General features: G+C 51.0%; 1 long non-coding RNA gene across 2 annotated transcripts in view, besides 4 other annotated features; it reads left to right on the plus strand.

Annotated features, from left to right (window-relative positions):
• The first annotated feature begins 1,112 nt into the window (after positions 1-1,112).
• LOC105378678 (uncharacterized) overlaps positions 1,113-18,298 on the plus strand; it is a 38,609-nt gene continuing 21,423 nt past the window's right edge. Inside the window, exons 1-2 of one of the 2 annotated variants that reach the window (XR_007066029.1) lie at positions 1,113-3,020; positions 3,410-8,033. This is a non-coding gene — a long non-coding RNA (uncharacterized LOC105378678). Of the gene's footprint in view, positions 3,021-3,409; positions 8,034-18,298 lie in introns of those variants that run through there. The other variant, XR_007066028.1, reaches the window with a different exon arrangement.
• Positions 2,634-2,824: a silencer, noted in NCBI's record as "fragment chr1:41893573-41893763 (GRCh37/hg19 assembly coordinates)". NCBI's record gives its function as "represses an EF-1alpha promoter that drives an FKBP-Casp9 reporter gene in an ReSE screen in HepG2 liver carcinoma cells {active_cell/tissue: HepG2}" and the evidence as "EXISTENCE:reporter gene assay evidence [ECO:0000049][PMID:32094911]".
• Positions 7,372-7,481: an enhancer, noted in NCBI's record as "active region_865". NCBI's record gives its function as "activates an Ori minimal core promoter by ATAC-STARR-seq in GM12878 lymphoblastoid cells {active_cell/tissue: GM12878}" and the evidence as "EXISTENCE:reporter gene assay evidence [ECO:0000049][PMID:35858748]".
• Positions 8,169-8,800: an enhancer, noted in NCBI's record as "H3K4me1 hESC enhancer chr1:41899108-41899739 (GRCh37/hg19 assembly coordinates)". NCBI's record gives its function as "activates a minimal SCP1, AML or CMV promoter by ChIP-STARR-seq in primed H9 embryonic stem cells {active_cell/tissue: H9 hESC(primed)}" and the evidence as "EXISTENCE:reporter gene assay evidence [ECO:0000049][PMID:30033119]".
• Positions 8,899-9,683: an enhancer, noted in NCBI's record as "H3K27ac-H3K4me1 hESC enhancer chr1:41899838-41900622 (GRCh37/hg19 assembly coordinates)". NCBI's record gives its function as "activates a minimal SCP1, AML or CMV promoter by ChIP-STARR-seq in primed H9 embryonic stem cells {active_cell/tissue: H9 hESC(primed)}" and the evidence as "EXISTENCE:reporter gene assay evidence [ECO:0000049][PMID:30033119]".

The raw sequence follows: 18,298 nt of genomic DNA on the forward strand, positions 1-18,298 counted from the left end.
TGTATGTGTGTGCATGTATGTGTGTGTATGTGTGTATATGTTTGCGTGAATATATATCTGTGTATGCAGGCATGTGTTTGTATATGTTTGTGCAAGCGTGTGTGCTAGTATGTGTGTGTGCACTTGCTGTGTACATATGTGTATGTGTGTTTGTGTGCATGTGTGTGTGCATATGTGTATATGTGTTGGTGTATATGCGTGTGTATGTGTGTGTATGTGTATATGTGTCTATATTGTGTTTATGTATGTGTGTATTTGTGTATGTGTTTGTGTATATGTGTATGTATATAGGTGTGTGTATAGATGTGTGTATGCATATGTATATGTCTGTGTATATGTGCATGTATTGTACATATGCATATGTGTATACGTGTATGTGTGTAGGTGTTTGTATATTTGTGTGTTTGTATATGTGTCTGTATTGCATCTGTGTATGTGTGTGTATATGTGTGTCTGTGTATGTGTGTGTGTGTATTGTGTATGTGCATGTATGTATATAGCTATATGTATAGGTAGCTATATGTTTATGTATATAGCTGTGTGTATAGATTGTGTATGCACATGTATATGTCTGTGTATATGTGTGTAGGTATATGTGTATAAATGTGTGCGTATGTGGGTGTGGGTGTATGTGTGTGTATGTGTGTGTATGTGTGTGCTAGCAGGGGATATGCTGAGCAGGGAAACATGACAAGGACCTGGCAGCAGTCCCAAGGGGTGATAGTGGTGGCCTGGATTCTGGTGGGCTGGGGGTGAGGAGCGGATGGATTCCGAGAGTTCGGAGGGGCTTGGGCAGGACTGGGTGGTGGTTTGGAAGTGAGTTCGGAGGGGCTTGGGCAGGACTGGGTGGTGGTTTGGATGTGAGTTGGGAGGGGCTTGGGCAGGACTGGGTGGTGGTTTGGATGTGAGTTCAGAGGGGCTTGGGCAGGACTGGGTGGTGGTTTGCATGTGAGTTCGGAGGGGCTTGGGCAGGACTGGGTGGTAGTTTGGATGTGAGTTGGGAGGGGCTTGGACAGGACTGGGTGGTGGTTTGGATGTGAGTTGGGAGGGGCTTGGGCAGGACTGGGTGGTGGTTTGGATGTAGGAGGTGGGCAGGAGGAGGCAGCAAGTGTCTGCTGTGGGAACCCGGGTAGTTGACGGGGGCTCATTCTCTGAGGTGGGAGAGAGGAGCAGACGGGGAAGGCAGTGAGTTCAGCCCTGTACCCGACATGTGGGGCAGAGCTCCTGCTTTCTGGGGGTTCTGTGGCCTTCTCTGAGTGACGCCCACACATGCACATACACACCTACTTCCCCCAGTGCACCTGGGCTATTCCCCAGCTTGGCAGCTGATGGGAAGAATCAGAAAGGGTCTGGAGGGCAGTGGCTGCATCCTGCTTCAGCCCGAGCTCTACCTTGACCAGTAAGTCCTGAGCCCCGGCCATTTCCGGGCTGTCCCCGGGCCTGGTGGGAGGAGGAAGACATGGCCACCATTCTATTAGAGGCCTGGCTGTGGCCAAGCTCTCTGAGGGACAGGAGCCTGTAGCACTGGACTTGGTGGCCCAAGCCCCCGCCACCGGTGGACAGACGTGTACCTCAGAATCCAGAACTCAGGTCCCAGCACTCTGTTCTAGCATTTGAGGCAGCCTCATCCTAAAGCCTGGAGTCCCTCCTCACCTCAGCCTTGGGCCCCTCTGGCTGGATCGCAGGGTGCTAGCGTCTTCCTCTTGGCAGAAGGCCAATGGAACCCCAAGAGGCGCTCTCTCTGCCCCCTCTTTTCAGCCTCTCTAAGTGTCCCTCCTCCATGCCCACTGCAGAGCAGCCCCCGTCTGATTTGCTGGGTCATCCTTGTCCCCTTGGAGCCTCAGTTTCCTCACCTGTCCATGGCAGAGCCATAGTGGGGGAAGTCCCCATGATGAGGAAGGGGCACATTCCTCAGAACAGGGGCATCTCTTGTCCTCCTGTCGGGGTCCCTGCCTGCAGTGTGGGGGGCCGCCTATGAGAAGGCTCTGTGGGCCCCTCCTCTGGGGCCCTCCCTGGCAGGCGGCCAGCAGTTCTTCTAGGCTGAATGAGTTATTTTGAAGCCAATGTGGGAGGTGGATTAATGAGCAGTTGGCTCTGGAACTGTGATCGGTGCCAGCCCCCAGCTCCCACCCTTGTGCCCACTGGCTCTGGAAATGCCACCGAGCATGGGCCTCCCTCCCCAGGGCTGAGCAGCAAGAGGCAGGCTAGGAGGCCCACTGTCCTGTCTCACCCATCTCCCATCCTCAGGCCTCCGGGGCAGGAAGGGGCGTGTGGTGGTTCTTCTCAGGTCAAGCCGAGCTCCTAGCGGGCCATCCTTGAGAGTCCCCAGCAGGACTTCGAGGCCCCTCCGAGGCTGCCCCAGTTCTCTGCTCTGGGCACAGTGCGTTGGTTGTCCAACATTCCTGTGAATCTTTAGCAGCAACAAAAGTTCGGAGCCCTTGCCTGCCACAGCCAGCCGCATTCCAAGAGGGACATGCAGCTGGGGTTCCTGCTCCCATTTAGCACATGAGGAGCAGGCGCAGCCAGTCACACAGCCAGGGGGTGGGGGAGTCCAGGAACCCATCTCCTGTGCGTGCCCGTCTACCATGACGCTCCCTCAAGCCACAAATGCTCCCTCCTCCCTCTCTCTCCCCGCCTCCCCGTCCTCCTCCTCTCACTCCTTCCTCTGTGGCCCTCATGCTTGCTCTGTCCCCCTTCTGATGACCCCAAATCCTTTCCACCCTCTTCCCAGGGTTTCCTCCCCATTGGGCCATGACCTCCACAAAAGCAGTGGCACAACAGACCCATCTCAGTCACCCCAGCATCCAGCACAGGGCTGGTCACAGCAGCATCCACAACTGTCCACTGTCCACTGAGTGACCAAGTGAATGAATGTGTGCAGCCCAGTGCGACCCGGAGCTCCCTTCCAAGCAATCTGTTCCTCCGGCTTGCATGCCTCTGGCTGTGGGAAGCTCACTTCCTTATGAAGAATCCGTTTCCACCTTTAGATGGTTCTGTCCATCTGGAAGGCTGGCCTTATGGTGAGCTGGAAGCTGCCCCTCTGGAGCTGCCCACATGAGCCACACAGAACAGACCTGCTGTCTTTCCCCACTTCATCCTTTCATCAAAACCCCACTGCTTTGTGCTCCAGGCTGAGCGGTGGAGATCTGGCTCCTGCCCACTAGCCTGGGTCACCACATCCCGGCCCCTGGCTTCTTTGCTGTTTCTCGTGCACATCATGCCTGATTCCCCGCCCAGCACCTTTGCACCCCTAGTCTTGGTGGGCCCCTTCTCCTCCATCAAATCTCCGCCCAAACATGTCCTCTCCAGCGGAAGTCAGCCCTTCCCTTGTTCTGTTGCGTCCTCCTGTTTATTTCCTTCACTTGCCAGCTCATCTCAGCTTAGCTCATCTTACTTCCTTAATTTGCAGTCTTTATTTCCAGCCACCATGAGAACAGAAGGTCTCTGGAGTGGGGACCTCATCTCTAACCCTGGAGCCTTCCACAGGGCCTGGTACACAGGCATTAATAACTGTGTGCCCAATGACATCATCCCCATCCCCATCACCATTCTCTTCATAGAGGCAGAAGAGCCATGAAGCGGCTAAAAACCAGGCCTCTGGGCCATACTGTCGGGCGCTGGGGCTGAATCCGGGACTCAACCAGTGTTTCCAAGCAGCCTCAGAGATAGAAGCAGGCAGGGCTGAGAACGCTGATTCCCCACTGCTCAAGCAGGCATCTTGATTTTGCCCAGAATTTAGGCTTTTTCTCTTAAATCTTTCTCATTCCCCTGTAAACACAGAATCCCTTCAGGATCTGCAGGGGAAAGGAAATTCATGTATAATGAACATCTCCTGTGTGCCTCGTGAGTTTGTTTGCTCTTCCTAACAACCCCATGATTGAAGCCCCTGCTTTACACATGAGGAGCCTGAGGCTCCTCAGAGAGGCTGATGCACTTGTTCAAGGACACACAGCTGGGAGAGATGAACCTGGGACTGCACCTCAGTGCTGTGCGACCCCAGGATCTTGGGGTTTGGAACTGGAGGAGTTCTGTGGAAGTTGGAGCCAGCATGTTCTGTAGAGCCAGAAACAGGCTTTGGCTGCCCCTGAAGCCTGATCCAAAGGTAGCGAGTTCCTCCACTGGAGGATACCAACAACATGCCGAGTAAGCTACCACGAAGCCTGTGCAGTTGACACGTGTTGGCTCCGTTCCAACAACTTTAGGAGGAGGGAACCATGCTCAGCCCTATTTACCCTGAAGAAATGAAGACTGAGAAGTCAGTGGAAGGCTCTGGGACAGAGTGGAATGAATATGCAGTGGAAGTAGTCATTACAGCAGTTCCAATGCGTGCGTCACTGCTTACGTGGGACACCGCAGTGGTGTAGCCAACCCTGGGCTCAGGGTGCTGCAAACAACACTCCACTTAATGTTTACAGCAACCCAAGGAAAGCCAGTGCCATTATTGTAGCCATTCTCCAGATGTAGAAATGGGTTCAGAAAGGTTAAGTAATTTGCACAAGGTTACACAGCTTGTCAGTGGCAAAAAAATGACAGTCACATGACCGACTTCAAGCCCCACGAGAAATCCCCAGCCGATGGGGCTGCTGCTTCTGAGATGAAGCAACTGTGAGCCTCTGTCAGGGTCAGGAGCCCCAGTCCTCTTTCTAGGGCCACTTGTGACGTCCCCATCCTTGTGGGCCTCAGCAGAAGGGAGAGTATCCCTGGGGATGTCCTCTGGCCATTTCAAGGACAAATTGTAGAAGGCTCTCGGTTTGAGGGGCCATCTTTCCTGTGACCGTCTCTGGCTCTCACAGGTGCAAAGAATCACCCTTTCAAGAGGGTCTTTGGATCTAGAACCTTCCACACTCCTCTCCCATCTGATCAGCCATACCACTCTGAAAAAGCAATCTGAAGGAAATATTTTAAAATTTGAGAACAGCTTTTGGCACAAAGGTATGCATCACAGCTTTGTGCAGAATAGCAGGAAACAATTTTCAGATTGTGAGCCATGGGATCAGCCTCTTGGAGGAGAAAGAACTTAGAATGAAAGGGAAATGCTCATGAAATCTTACATGTACTGAGCAGGAGACGACAGAGCACCATCTAAAGCACAGGGGTAAGCAAAGGAACAAAAGGATGTCAGCGAATGTCGAGGACGCTTGGGGTGAGACAGAGCTGGGGACTTTTCTATGTTTTTTCCTTATTGTCATATTTACCAAGTTTATTTAAACAAGCATTACTTTTATAGTGGGTCAGTGGGGAGAGAGATAGAGAGACCTCTATTTTATGCAACTAAAACCGAAACTGCTTCTGGATGCAGACAAGAACCAGGTGTGCCACCATGGCCAGGGTGCAGGCTCTCCCACTGCCAGATCCTGTGAGGCTGACAGATGTTGAATTTTCTAATGCTGCCCTTCTCTGAGGAACACTGGACATCTCAGTTAAAAATGTTGTACCTGGGTTGCCAGAAATTCTTTCCAAAGCACTTACAGTCTTACCTCAGGCTTGGCTGTGGGGCGTCTTGGCAGTTCTTTTGCCTGCAACTCTTGCACGTATTTTCCAAAGCACAGAATCGTTTTTAGTGGAAGTAGTAGCTTTCCCCTATAGGATCTTCAGCGCAAGGGCTGGGGAAAAGGTGGGCAGTGGGTGTGGCATTTCAGCTGGCTGATGTCCATATTCACATGAAGGGAGTTCATCTGATCCAATGGGCTTGACCAGGGAATTTAATTATTATTTGGGTGTACCAGGGCTGAGGGCCCTTTCCAAGCCAGGCCAAGTCTGCAATGTCCCCTGTGGCCAGGGGAGCCCCGAAGGTCCAGAGACCAAGGAAGGAGCCCAGAGCAGGCCAGGGTAGCCCCTGGTCCTGGGTCTCTTGTGCCCCCAGATGCTGTTTCTCCCCAGCTGGAGCTGGTCTGCTGAGGGCCTTCAGGAATCCTCCAGGGGTGCCCAGCACATCAAGAGAGCATCTCACTCTGGGCGCCTGTGTCCTTAATCTTCATGGGACCATGCCCGTGAGAAGGTGGAGGACCCTTCAGCACAGCCGCTGCCTGCCCCTGGGTGGGGGCTGATCCTGAGGGTGGGTCTTTGGAATGGAGCAAGTAGAGGTGAGGAGTGAGGGGGAAGGGGGTGTGCTCTATCCTGTGCTTTGTGATGAACTCCTAGCCCCATCCGAGGGAGGTGAAAACTGAGGCTTGGTACAAGAGACTTTCCCAAGATCATCCAATCTGCAGCAGAGCCAGAAACCCAGGACATGAGGTTTCTCAGGGGGCATCAGGACCCCCAAGTGCTCACTGTGGAAGGTTCTTCCAAAGCCTCCTTCTGGTCCTAGATGGGCCCATCATAGAGAAGGAATAGTGAGTCAGCTCTAGGCAGTGTGTACACTGGAAAGAACATGGGCTCTGGAATCAGATAAACTCGGTTTCTACTGTGTGATCTTGGGTAAGTCACTTAACGTCTCTGAGCCTTCCATTTTCTGTAGCTGGACACCAATACCAACCTCATGGGGTTAGTTTGAAGCAAAGGAGCTTTCCTGGGAATGACAGGGAAAGAGAAGTCATTGACACCAGGGGATACTCAGCCGGTCTCAATGCAGGACAGATGCTCCCAGGACACACCAGCGGGAGGTGCCCCCTGCCGGGGTCTGGAGGGCAGGACCAGCATGCCTCCTCCCCTGAAACCTCTGCGCCTGACATTGCCTGGCACGAGGCAGGGGCTTGATAAGTGTCCGCTGGTCAAATGGAGCGGATCTGGCAAGGGGCCAGCCCCATTCCTGGTGTTCTCCCTGCCTTCCTGGCTCTGGAGCCCCCTCCTGCTCCGAAGGCTCCGCTCTGCCATAAGCCAGGTCCCTACCCTGCCCTGTGTGGCTCAGGAGACGTGGACATCCCCGAGCTGGTCCAGATGCCTGCACCCCTGCTTTGCTCCTGGGGGAGGACTTTGCCTGTTTCTCATGGACGCTTACACCGTGCCAGAGGCTGGGCCTCACCTGCACGATCCCGTTAATGCCTCGCAACCCCACAGGGCAAGCGCCTTGAGGATCTTCACTCTACAGAGGTGGCAGCTGGAGCTTTGGAGGAAAGGAGTTGCTGCTGCGGACTGAATTGTGCCCCTGCTGCCCCCACATTCATATATGGAAGCTCTAACCCTCTATGTGACTATATGTGGGACGCGGTCTTTAGGAGGTAATGAAGGTAAAATGAGGTCATAATCCCACAGGACCGCGGCCTTATAACAAGAGGAAGAGGGACCGGAACGCTCTCTCCATGTGAGTGTACAGGGCAGGCCAGGAGGAGGGCCCGCTCCAGAAATGGCCCCGCGCCAGGCTGCCCAGCCGCCACCGCTGGGAGAAATGAGTTTCTGTTGCGAGCTGCCAAGTCTGCAGTACTGTGTTATGGCCGGGGCTGACCGTCACTCACCCAAGGTCACACAGAGAGGAGCAACCAGGATTCAAGCTCAGTCTGTTCTTGAGAACTCAGGCCTGTTCATGACCCCACAGTGGGTCTCCTGTGCTAGGGCTGTGCCTCAGTAGCCGGGTCTGTGGAGTGGGTGGCTTTTTTCTGCCCTGCTCCAGGGTCATGAAGCCTGAGTAACCTCTGACTCACCTCAGGCTCGGCAGGCTCCCTGCTGGCCATGGGGCCATTTCTGCTGCTGCAGCGCCCCCTGCTGGCCCAGACCACGTCTGCCTTGTGCCTGTCCCCTGGAGTTCGTTCCCCTCCCTCCAGATCTGGCTCTCCAAGCCCTGCCCCTTCCGTGCCATCCCTCAGGTTCTGCAGGGCACTGGCCACTTCTGCACAGCCAGGCCTTCCCACCCTACCCCCGAGATTCACACAGCAGGGTCCACTCCCTCCCAGGCTTGGCTTCCCCAGGCTGAGGGCTGGGCATTGGCACCCTTCCACAGACCACATGAGTCAGCTCCCTCCCCACCCAACAAGGCCAGTGCTGGCTCTGTCTGAGGTCCCTTTGTTCAGGTCTCTTCTGAAGAAAGGCACCAGAGGCTCCAGCTCTGGCCATAATGCCCCAGATGAAGCTTGACAGGAGAACTGGACACAACAGGCCAGGTGGGGATGGGACGCCTGGATACTGCCTTGGGCCTGAGTGGGCAGGGAAGAGGCAAAGATATGCTATCGTGGATCCTAGGCTGGCTACAAGGCTCTCAGATGCCAACCCACCTCCCTCCTGTCCTTTTACACTCCCTGGGCCCCCTGCCCCCTGCAGCCCAGGGCCCCTCACTGCCTCCTCCACCAGCTGCTCACTGAACCCCTTGCAGCTCTTGGAGAGGGCAAGCTGAGATTCTGGAGCCAGAAACTCCTGGGTCCTTTTCTACACTAACTCACTTTGTGACCGTCTTCTCTCTTGGCCTTCATTTCCTCAACTGTGCAATGGGAGCAGTGCACCCCTCTTGGGTGTGAAGGGCCCAGCAGAGGGCCCAGTGCAAAGCTGGCATCAGTGCATGTTTGTGCGATGGGCAGACGGGTTGGGGGGGTCAGTAGCCTTGACTACAGGGACAGGGACTCTGCTCACCTCCAGGCTGTCTTCCTTGCCTTTCTTTCCTTGAAGGGAGTGGTTCCCTCTGAGTGCCTATGCTAATGAGCTCCCTGCAGCCCCATCTGCATAAGGAGCTTCTGACTCGGTTTCTCTGGGTCAAGCTCAGGCCATGGAGGCATCTTAAGGTCAGCTTCAGGTGGGAAAAGTAGGTAGGGGTGTTGGGAGGCAGATCCAGTTCCAATCTTGATTTCACCAAGTTCTTATCGAAGAAACTCCTGGAAAACTGTTTTCCATTGTCTGAGCCTCAGTTTCATCTTCTGGAAAATGGAGCAATGACACCCTGTTAAAGGAGCTCCATGAGAAGGTGCAACTCAGAGTAGGTACCTCGTGCCCACACCCACCACAGTCTGGGTTGCATCTACACTTGCCCTCTCACCTCTCGGTCCCTAACTCCTCTGAGCTGCAGTAGCTCAAAAGCAGCTCAAACTCAGCTTATCTCACCCTCAGCTCCTTACCCCACCCTAGTAACTGCCCACCCTCCACTCACTGCACAGACCAGAAACCCAGGTGGGGTTTCCTTGATTCCTTTCTCTCCCTCAACTCCTTCCCTAGTCCCCAGACCCACAGCCCCAGAAGATTCCATCCTCACACACTCCTGCTGCCTCCTTCCTTGACTGCCCACTGGACTGGTGCAGGAGCCTGTTGGCGGTTCCCACATTCGTCTAGCTCCTTTCCAACCCTTTCCCCACACTGCAGCTAATGACTTTATCAGGCTCACATGTGGTTCCTTGCTGAAAATCCTGCAGGGGCTTCTCAGTGCTTTTAGGAGGAAGAACACATGTCTCTGCTGGAGGTCCTGCATTATCTGGGCCCTATGACGACCCCGTTAGATTTCAGGGCGCCTTCCCCTCACTTGGAGGTCCAGCCATCCTGGACTTCCTTTGTTGACCTTTCCCTCTGTCTGGAGTGTTCTTTCCCATCCCACCTCATTGCCTGGTTGCCACCTACTCACTCTCCAAATCTCAGCCCAGGCACAGCATCTCTAGAGAGGCTTGTCCTGAGCCCCCGGCAGGGTTGAATGCCTCTGCTGCAAGCTCCTGGCAGTCTGCGGCCTCTTCTTTGGGCCCTTTCTTGGTTATTACTAAACAAACCTTTGGGTGACCCTATGGCAGTCTTCTCTGTCCCACAGACCGCAAGCTCCCTGAGAACAGGGTTGCCTCTGTGCCTGCTTGCCTTGGCAGCTCCAATCCCTGCAGAGAATTTGGGATGAAACAGATGCTTGATAAATATGGTCATATCCTCCTTGAACCCCTGGAGGCGTTCATTCTATGTCCTGAGTTTTGCACAAGATGTTCAGGCTGATTATTGGTTGGAGAGCTCACGATGTGGTGGAAAGAATCTTAGTCTGGGATTTCTGGGATTCAGGAGTCTTGAGTTCTAGCCCTGGTTCTGCTGTGTGACTCTGGGCAAATCACTGCCCCTCTCTGAGTCTGTGTTCTCACCATAACATCAAGGGGCTGTATTGTGCAAGATCAGAGCAATCTCTTCCAATCGGATTGGTACAGGAAAATTTCTTGAATAAGACAGGGCCTGTGCAGGGTCTTGAAATAAGAGCAGGACTGAGTGAGGTGGAGAAGGAAAGGCATTCCAGATGGGAGGAACAGCATGAGCAAAGGTGTGAATTCCATGTGTGGCTGGATGGAGGGTGGGAGGTGAGGCCCGGGTGAGCAGGAATGGTGGGGAGCAGGGACTGAACTCCCCTTCCCAAAGTCCTCTGGGGCCCCCAGCTGACTAGGATCCCAGTCCCAGCTCTGAGAATGGCTGGTTCAACCTGAAGCTGCCTTAATTGCAAGGCCCCTCAATTATCCACCCCACCCAGCACCTCCCGCCTCTGGCGTGGTGGGTTAATTTCTGGCTCTCCAGAGTTGTCCTGTTAATAGTCTTGTCTTCCTGTAACCGACAGCTCCCTCATCAGATAGCGGCAAGGACGAGTCCTCCCGGGGGGAACCAGAGGCTCCTGCCTGCCGCCCTCTATGGCTAGGGAGATGGCGTCACCGCCCAGGAATGCTGCACCCAGGCCCCCTCCCCATTCCCAGCAGCTTATCTAGTCTGGAATCTTGTGTCTGGCTTTGTCATCTCCTGCCCTGTGCCGCCCCCTGCCACCCTCAGCCCACACAGTGTCCCCTAGAGCCGGCTCCTGTGGGGTTTTGGGTTAAAAGCCTGCCAAGATTGGTTTCTTGGTGCCTCGTTGGGCCAGGTCTGGAGCTCTGGCTTCTGGGGGTGAGGCTGGGTGCCGGCATCCTGGCTGAGGGATGGGTTGAGAGGCAGCAGTTCATGTGCAGGATACTGCAGGCTGGATTAGCAGGCTAAGATTGGGATGGGTGGGAACTTTTCCTGCCAGAAAGAGCCCGGGTCCCTGAAACAGTGGGGACTACGGGATGGGAAGCAGGGATTTCATCCTGAACAATCAGCCCACCCAGTGGGCCCAGCATCGAAGCAGTGGGGAGAGACTGGGTGGGTGAGATCAGCCAAGTGTTTGCAGCAGGTGCTGAGTCCTGGGGTAAGGTTTGCCCCTTGTGGTCACCTAAAATGAAGTGCCCATCAAAGGCAAGACTTCAAAGGCCACTGGTGCCAGAGAACAGAATTAAGGGCAGAAGGAATTCAAGGACTGTTTTTAATGGTACCAGACAGCTTAAAGAAAGGAAATGCGATGAAAAATCCCTAGAGCCTTAGCCCAAGGCATGGACCCAAACTCGAGAACTTTCTACGGTCTGGAAAAAGAATCTCATCTCCTATCAAGGCAGGGCAGACACGACCAAACACCAGATGCCTACTTTGATCTGGTGGGTTGCTGAGTTACAATATTAGTTGAATTCCCAAACTTTGCAGGGTTTTTACATAAATATCAGGAATTAATCCAGAAGAGGTGAGAGTTGAGAATCAGAATGAGGTAGACAGGATGGTGCACTCAGAGACCCAGACTTCCAAGCCCTACAGAGTGTCCCATGCTGGCCAAGCTGGCCCTTCTCCCCTCTTAAAGGGGTTGTTCTAGCTCCAGTCAAGATTCCTTGCCTAAGGGTATTCATTTGCAAGGCAGAAAACAACACTCCCTGCTTGTGCTTCCAGGCTTGTGACTAGATCAGATTCCAGCATGTTCCTGTTGACCAATTATAAAGACAAACTTTGGAGGAGAAAGTTTACTTACCAACAGAATTACAAGACTTTACTAACTTGTCTTGGCAAAATCCTGGGCATACCACATGCGGATGGTTTATCAGAAGGAATATCATTTTAGATCTGATGTCAGGAATTAATCCAGAAGAGGTGAGAGTTGAGAATCAGAATGAGGGCAGACAGGATGGTGCACTCAGAGACCCAGACTTCCAAGCTCTACAGAGTGTCCCGTGCTGGCCAAGCTGGCCCTTCTCCGCTCTTAAAGGGGCTGTTTCAGCTCAAGTCAAGACTCCTTGCCTAAGGGTGTTCATTTGCAAGGGGGAAAACCATAGAAAGTTCCCGGGTTTGGGTCCATGCCTTGAGGTAAGGACCTAGGGATTTTTCATCCCTGTTTTCTTTCTTTAGGCTGTCTGGTGCCATTAAAAACAGACATTTCAATTCACAGTTCTAGAATTCCTTCTGCCCTCAATTCTGTTCTATGGCACCAGTGGCCTTAATTTCTTGATGTCAATGAGCCTGTCTGAGCTGTGGATTCAATATGCTGGATTCAAAACTCCCAGGAGCTGGGAGAGATTTCTTGATGTAAGAAATTCAGGAGAAAGATGTCCTCCTATCCCAAACCCTGACCCTTAAGAGACCCCAGAAGTTACTCCCTTGTCTAAGACCTTATACATTATCATTGAGGAGGGGAGTGCCAACCTCTTTGAACCCCTCTGCCCCACCCAAAGGCTGTTCTCTGTGTATTAGGCATGCTGGTGGTAGTTGCCATTGTTAAATAAACCCCTTATATCAATGGAAAATAAGCCATTACAATAAAAAATGTCAGACCCTCACCCCACTCGATATGTCGTACCAGGCTGGGCACAGTGGATCGTGCCTGTAATCCCAACAGTTTGGGAGGCCGAAGTGGGAGGATTGCTTGAACCCAGGAGGTTGAGAGCAGCCTGGGCAATGTAGGGAGACCCCATCTCTACAAAAAAAAATAGAATCATAAAAATTAGTCAGGCATGATGGCATGTGCCTGTAATCCTAGCTACTTGGGAGGCTGAGGCAGGAGGATCACCTGAGCCCAGAAGGTTGAGGCTACAGTGAACTGTGATTGAGCTACTGTACTCCAGCCTGGGTGACAGAGTGAGACTCTGTCTAAAAAAAAAAAAAAAAAAAAAAAAAATTCGGAACCTGGATCCCTTGAATGGAGTGGTCAGCGTTGAGGAAACACTATCTAATAATATAATTTAGTTCCTTAAACCTTCTCTTGTTCCTCTCCAAAAGGACCTGTGGCCATATTTCAGAATAACAGTGTACTGGCGAAGATCCTAGATCTCTTGAAAATTAACCCTGAATTAATGCTAATTTCTAAAGACCCAGATTACCCAGAGATTTACCAATGAGAGTGGGGGTTTACAGGGATCAGATGCTGAATGGAATGTTGATCTGAGTCTGCTCCCTGAGAGGCAGCAGTACTATCAGTGGGTACTTCCCCAGGTTCTCAGTACAGAGTTAGAATAGATACTCTCCGGATTGGCAGATTTACTGCATGGTTCCCTGACCCATAGAGCAAGGACAGGCCAAGGGAAAGCCACTATAGGTTCCCAAATCACATCAAAATAGTAAGTCAAGGGCACTAATGCATATTAAACAGAACCACAAAGATAACATGACTGTGAAAGAAACATGCAGGGATTGTGCTTCCAGTTAACTTTCTAGTTTGGCCAGCGTGTAAATTGGATGAGTCTTGAAAAATGAAAATGGATGATTATAATTAATCAGGTGGTGATTCCAATTATAGTTCCACAATGTTCCAAAAGCGGTCTCATGATTGGAACAAATTAATGTAGATTTGACACCCAGAAACTATTTTCCCTCCTATATCCTGATCACCAGAGAACATCAGAACTACTTTATTTTCTCATGGCAGGGACAAACAACAGCACACCTGCCATCTTGCCTCAGGGCTGAGTCAACTCTCCAACTCTATGCCATAAGTTAGTTCATGGGGACCTTGATCATTTCATCTTTTTATAGGCATCACACTGGTGCAGTACACTGGTGATGTCATGCTGATAGGTCCTAGAGATCATAAAACAGCAGGTACCTTGAAATACAATTGTTTTCCAGAATGAGGGAGGAACAGCCTGTGAAAATACAGGGGTCTCAGTTAAGTTTGTGGACATAATGTCTTAGGAAATTCAGAATATTCCCTTCAAAACGAGGAACAAATAAATGAAGGTTGTTGAACTTTGCATCCCCGACCACTAAAAGGCATATCACTGGGTGGGCTATTCTAGATTTTAGAGGCAACATATACCACATATGTGTCTGCTACTTCAAACTATTTCCTGAGCAATCAAAAGTGTCTTGCTTTGAATGGGGTCAGAGCTGGCTAAGACTCCAAACCAAGTCCTTAGGATCCATTAGATTCAATGGTGCTCGAAGAGTCTGTGGCAGACTGTGATGCTGCACGGAGCCTTTGGCAAGGCAAGATAGGAGAACCGCAGTAAAGGCCCTTCATTTTTGGAGCAAGGCCATGGCTTCTTTGGCAAATAACCATTCACCTTTTGAGAAACAGTTCCTGGCTTGCCCCTTGGCACTGTCAGAGGCTAAGCATCTGACCATAGACTACAAGGTAACCATTTAATCCAAGCTACCCGCTATGTCGTCTGACCCACCTAGCCATTAAACTGAGCATGCCCAGCAACGCCCCTCTCTCAAGTGGAAATGGTATAAATGGGTCTGGCCCTGGGCACATCCTGAAAGCACAGGTACATTGCATGAGCAAGTGGTTCACTCTTCCAGCATGCTGTGGCTTTCTCAGCCTACATTTGTGCTCACAGAAATGCCCTATAGCCAACTTATCGAAGAGAAAAAATTCTGAGCCTGGTTTACAAAGGACTCTGCATGGTATGCTGGCACCAGCTGGAAGCAAGACCTTGTGATATTATAACCCCATTTAGAGTATCCCTGAAGGACAGAGTAGGGAAATCCTCACACTGGGTAGTACTTTGAGTGTTATATTTTACTCTCTTGATCTGGAAGAGCAGAAGGCCTAAGTTCTGCAGTGATTCATGGTAAGTGGCTAATGATTTGGACAGATGAACAGGGACTTGGAAGAGACAAGACTGAAGGATAGGTAAAAAGGAAGCTTGGAAGAGGCATGTGGTTGGACTCTTAGAATGGATCCAGCATCATACGCATACTTACATCCCATGAGAGCACTCACCAGACGCTCCTAACAACCCTGGAAGGATCTTAATGAACAGATGGACAAGATGTGACCCACTTTGTGGATGCCAATTAGCCTCTTTTCTCAGGCACCCCAGTATTTGCTCAATGGACTCAATAAACAAGTTGGCCAACAATGTCACTGGTGGTGGATGGATGACATCAGACTCCTTTCTTCCTGGAAGGGGACTGGGATCTGTCCTCACTGGCATAATCACTTATTCTGGATTTGGATTCGCTTTCCCTGCCTGCCATAATCCATAATTCTTCCAGCAGCATCATCTGCAGACTCACCAAATTCCTTCTCCACTGTCAGGGTGTCGCCTACAACATTGCTTTGGGCCAAGAAATTTATTTTACACAGAGAGAAGTACATCAGTGGACTGAAGCCAATTAGATCCATTGGTCATACTAGGTGCCCCATTGCCCAGAAACAGCTGGACCAATAGAATTACAGAATGACCTAATGACGAATCAATTCCAGAAGCAGATGGAAGAATACAAACCACTGTGAAGCTGCAGTGCCATTTTACAGGATGCCATAGACACTCTTAACAAAGCTAGATCCATGGCCAGGGGAGCCAGGAAGCAGAAGCAGGGTGGTGCCTCTCACAGTTCCACCCAATCACTCCTGAAACTTGGGGCTTAGAAGGGCTAGTACCCAAGGAAGGAGCACTTCTACTAGGGGATGTAAGTTGAATTCCAATTCAGCTTCCACTGAATTGGAAGTTGAGAATGCCAGCTGGTCATTTAAAACTCCTTATGTTGCTGAGTGAACAAGCAGAGAAAAGGAGTTATGATTTGGCTGGGGTTATTGACTTTGACTCCTAAGAGGAAATCAGCTTTCCCATGCTTAGTGGGAGCAGAGAGTAACAGTATGGAAACTGTTGTAATCTAAAAGTAACTGAAGACCTTTCTAGCTCTAGGTGGGCAGGCCCCGCCCAGTCTCAGATCCATAGGAATAACTGTTTAAGTCATCTTGCCAGGTAAAGGACCCTGCCTGGGAAAACAGGAAACTAATAAATGCCAACTGTTATGTGATAACCAGCAGCAGAAGGAGATGTAGTATTTCCCTTCATTTTCTTTTTCCTACCTTGTCATGTCTATGTTAGTATATTTTAACCTAGTGCTTCTTAATCTCTAATGTACATGCCAATTATCTAAGGGATCTTGTTAAAATGCAGATTCTGAATTAAGAGGTCTCAGTTGAGGTCTGAGATTCTGCATTTCTAAGTAGTCTTTCCTGACCTCTTTATAGAAAGCAGTCCTTCCTGAGCCACTCTTTCTATTTACCCTGCTTCCCCCACCTTCGTGACAGTGATCCTTGAGATTATTTATTCATTTATACATCTGTTCATTTATTGCCTGTCGCTTATACTACATGTAAATTGCATGGGGAAAGAAATCTTGAATTTCTTATTTATCTTCATATTCTCAGCACCTAAGACAGTATGTGGCACATAGTAGGCACTCTGTAAATATTCATGTAGGCTGGGCGCAGTGGCTTATACCTGTAATCCCAGAACTTTGGGAGGCCAAAGAGGGCGGATCCCCTGAGGTCAGGAGTTTGAGATCAGCCTGGCCAACATGGTGAAACCCTGTCTCTACTAAAAATAAAAAAATTGGCTGGGCGCGGTGGCTCACACCTGTAATTACAGCACTTTGGGAGGCTGAGGTGGGCAGATCACGAGGTCAGGAGATTGAGACCATCCTGGCTAACACAGTGAAACCCTGTCTCTACTAAAAATACAAAAAATTAGCCGGGTGTGGTGGCAGGTGCCAGTAGTCCCAGCTACTTGGGAGGCTGAGGCAGGAGAATGGCATGAACCCAGGAGGCGGAGCTTGCAGTGAGCCGAGATCACGCCACTGCACTCCAGCCTGGGCGACAGAGCGAGACCCTGCCTCAAAAAAAAAATAAAAATAAAAATAAAAATAAAAAAATTAGCCGGGCATGGTGGCGCACCCCTGTTATCCCAGCTACTCGGGAGGGGGAGGCAGGAGAATTGCTTGAACCCAGGAAGTGGAGGTTGCAGTGAGCCAAGATCGTGCCACTGTACTCCAGCCTGAGCAACATAGTGAGGCTGCATCTCAAAATATAAATAAATAAACAAATATATATATATAAATGTAAATATTTTTGGAATGACTGAATGTGTATAACTCATGCAATCAGTTGTATTTCCATGTGTGCCCGGAAACACCCACACACATACATAAGGGCAAACTCTCATGTGCAGCCACATATAAAATTAATTAGGAACATACACACACAAAATAATTGTAGATATTCACATACACAAACACACAAATACGTGATGCACATGTATATACACACACAGATACACAAACTCACATAAACACATGCCTTCTCCAGGAAACCGATGCCCACATCAGAGTCGAGGTGCCACTGGCCACCAATACAGTGACTCAGGCTAGGCCCTTCTTTGCCACTTTCTGATCCCCTGTAGCTGGTGAGAGTTTTCCTCACCAGGGCAGAGAAAGGGCTCAGAACATGGACCCCTCCCTGACCTCCTCAGAAGCAGCTGTGCCGAGCTTCTCCCTCCACCTGTATTGGTGCCCCCGAAGGCAGTGTTGATGGCTCCTGTCCCCCAGTGCTGGCCAAGGGCAGCATGGGTGTACCACAGGTCTCAGTCTACAGATGGGAAGCCTGAGGCCTTGCCCACCATCACCCAGAAAGGTGGAGGGAGCCCCAGAGTCTCAGAGGTGCTGAGTGGGACTGGTTCTCTCCATGACTCAGGGCCCTGGTGCCTACTCCTGCGTGCCCCACCCAGGGCCCCCCTACTATACAAAGGGGTGGTGGCTGCTGCCCAGGCCCCAGTCTATTTTGTTTGCAATTATCTGGCCAGTAAGCCAGGAAACTGCAATGAGCAAGTTTTGGCAGATAGACCCATGTCTCTGCCCAAAGATTCCTGCTCCTGATAATCCCCCAGGAAACCCTGCTGCTTCACTCCTCCTTGGAGCTCCCTCGGATCCCTGCTCTGAGTTCCCGAGCAGCTATAACCAGGCCTGATAGGTGTCCTCTATCTGTTGCCGGAGTCCTCTCTCAGCCTGCCCAGCGGGTTTTCAGGGTCTCCTGGTATCCACAGGTGCGGGAAACTCATTGCCTTTCACGGGGCCCAGTTCCTTCAAATCATGGATAGGCCTGCCTTTATTAAGCAACTCCTCTTTCAGCTTCTTTTGCTCCAGGTCCACCCTTCAGAATTCAGAGACAGAGCCTATGTCTTCCCTGAATCTTCCAGTTCCCCTTGTGACCATCTCCATATCTTTCACTTTATCCAAGGAGGACATATTTTTTTTTATATGGGGTCTTACTCTGTCACCCAGGTTGGAGTACAGTGGCATGATCATGGCTCACTGCAGCCTCCACCTCCCGGGCTCAATCAATCTTCCCACCTCAGTCTCTCAAGTAGCTGGGACTGTA

This window comes from Homo sapiens, chromosome 1, assembly GCF_000001405.40.
Source record: "Homo sapiens chromosome 1, GRCh38.p14 Primary Assembly".
NCBI classification, from domain to species: Eukaryota; Metazoa; Chordata; class Mammalia; order Primates; family Hominidae; genus Homo; species Homo sapiens.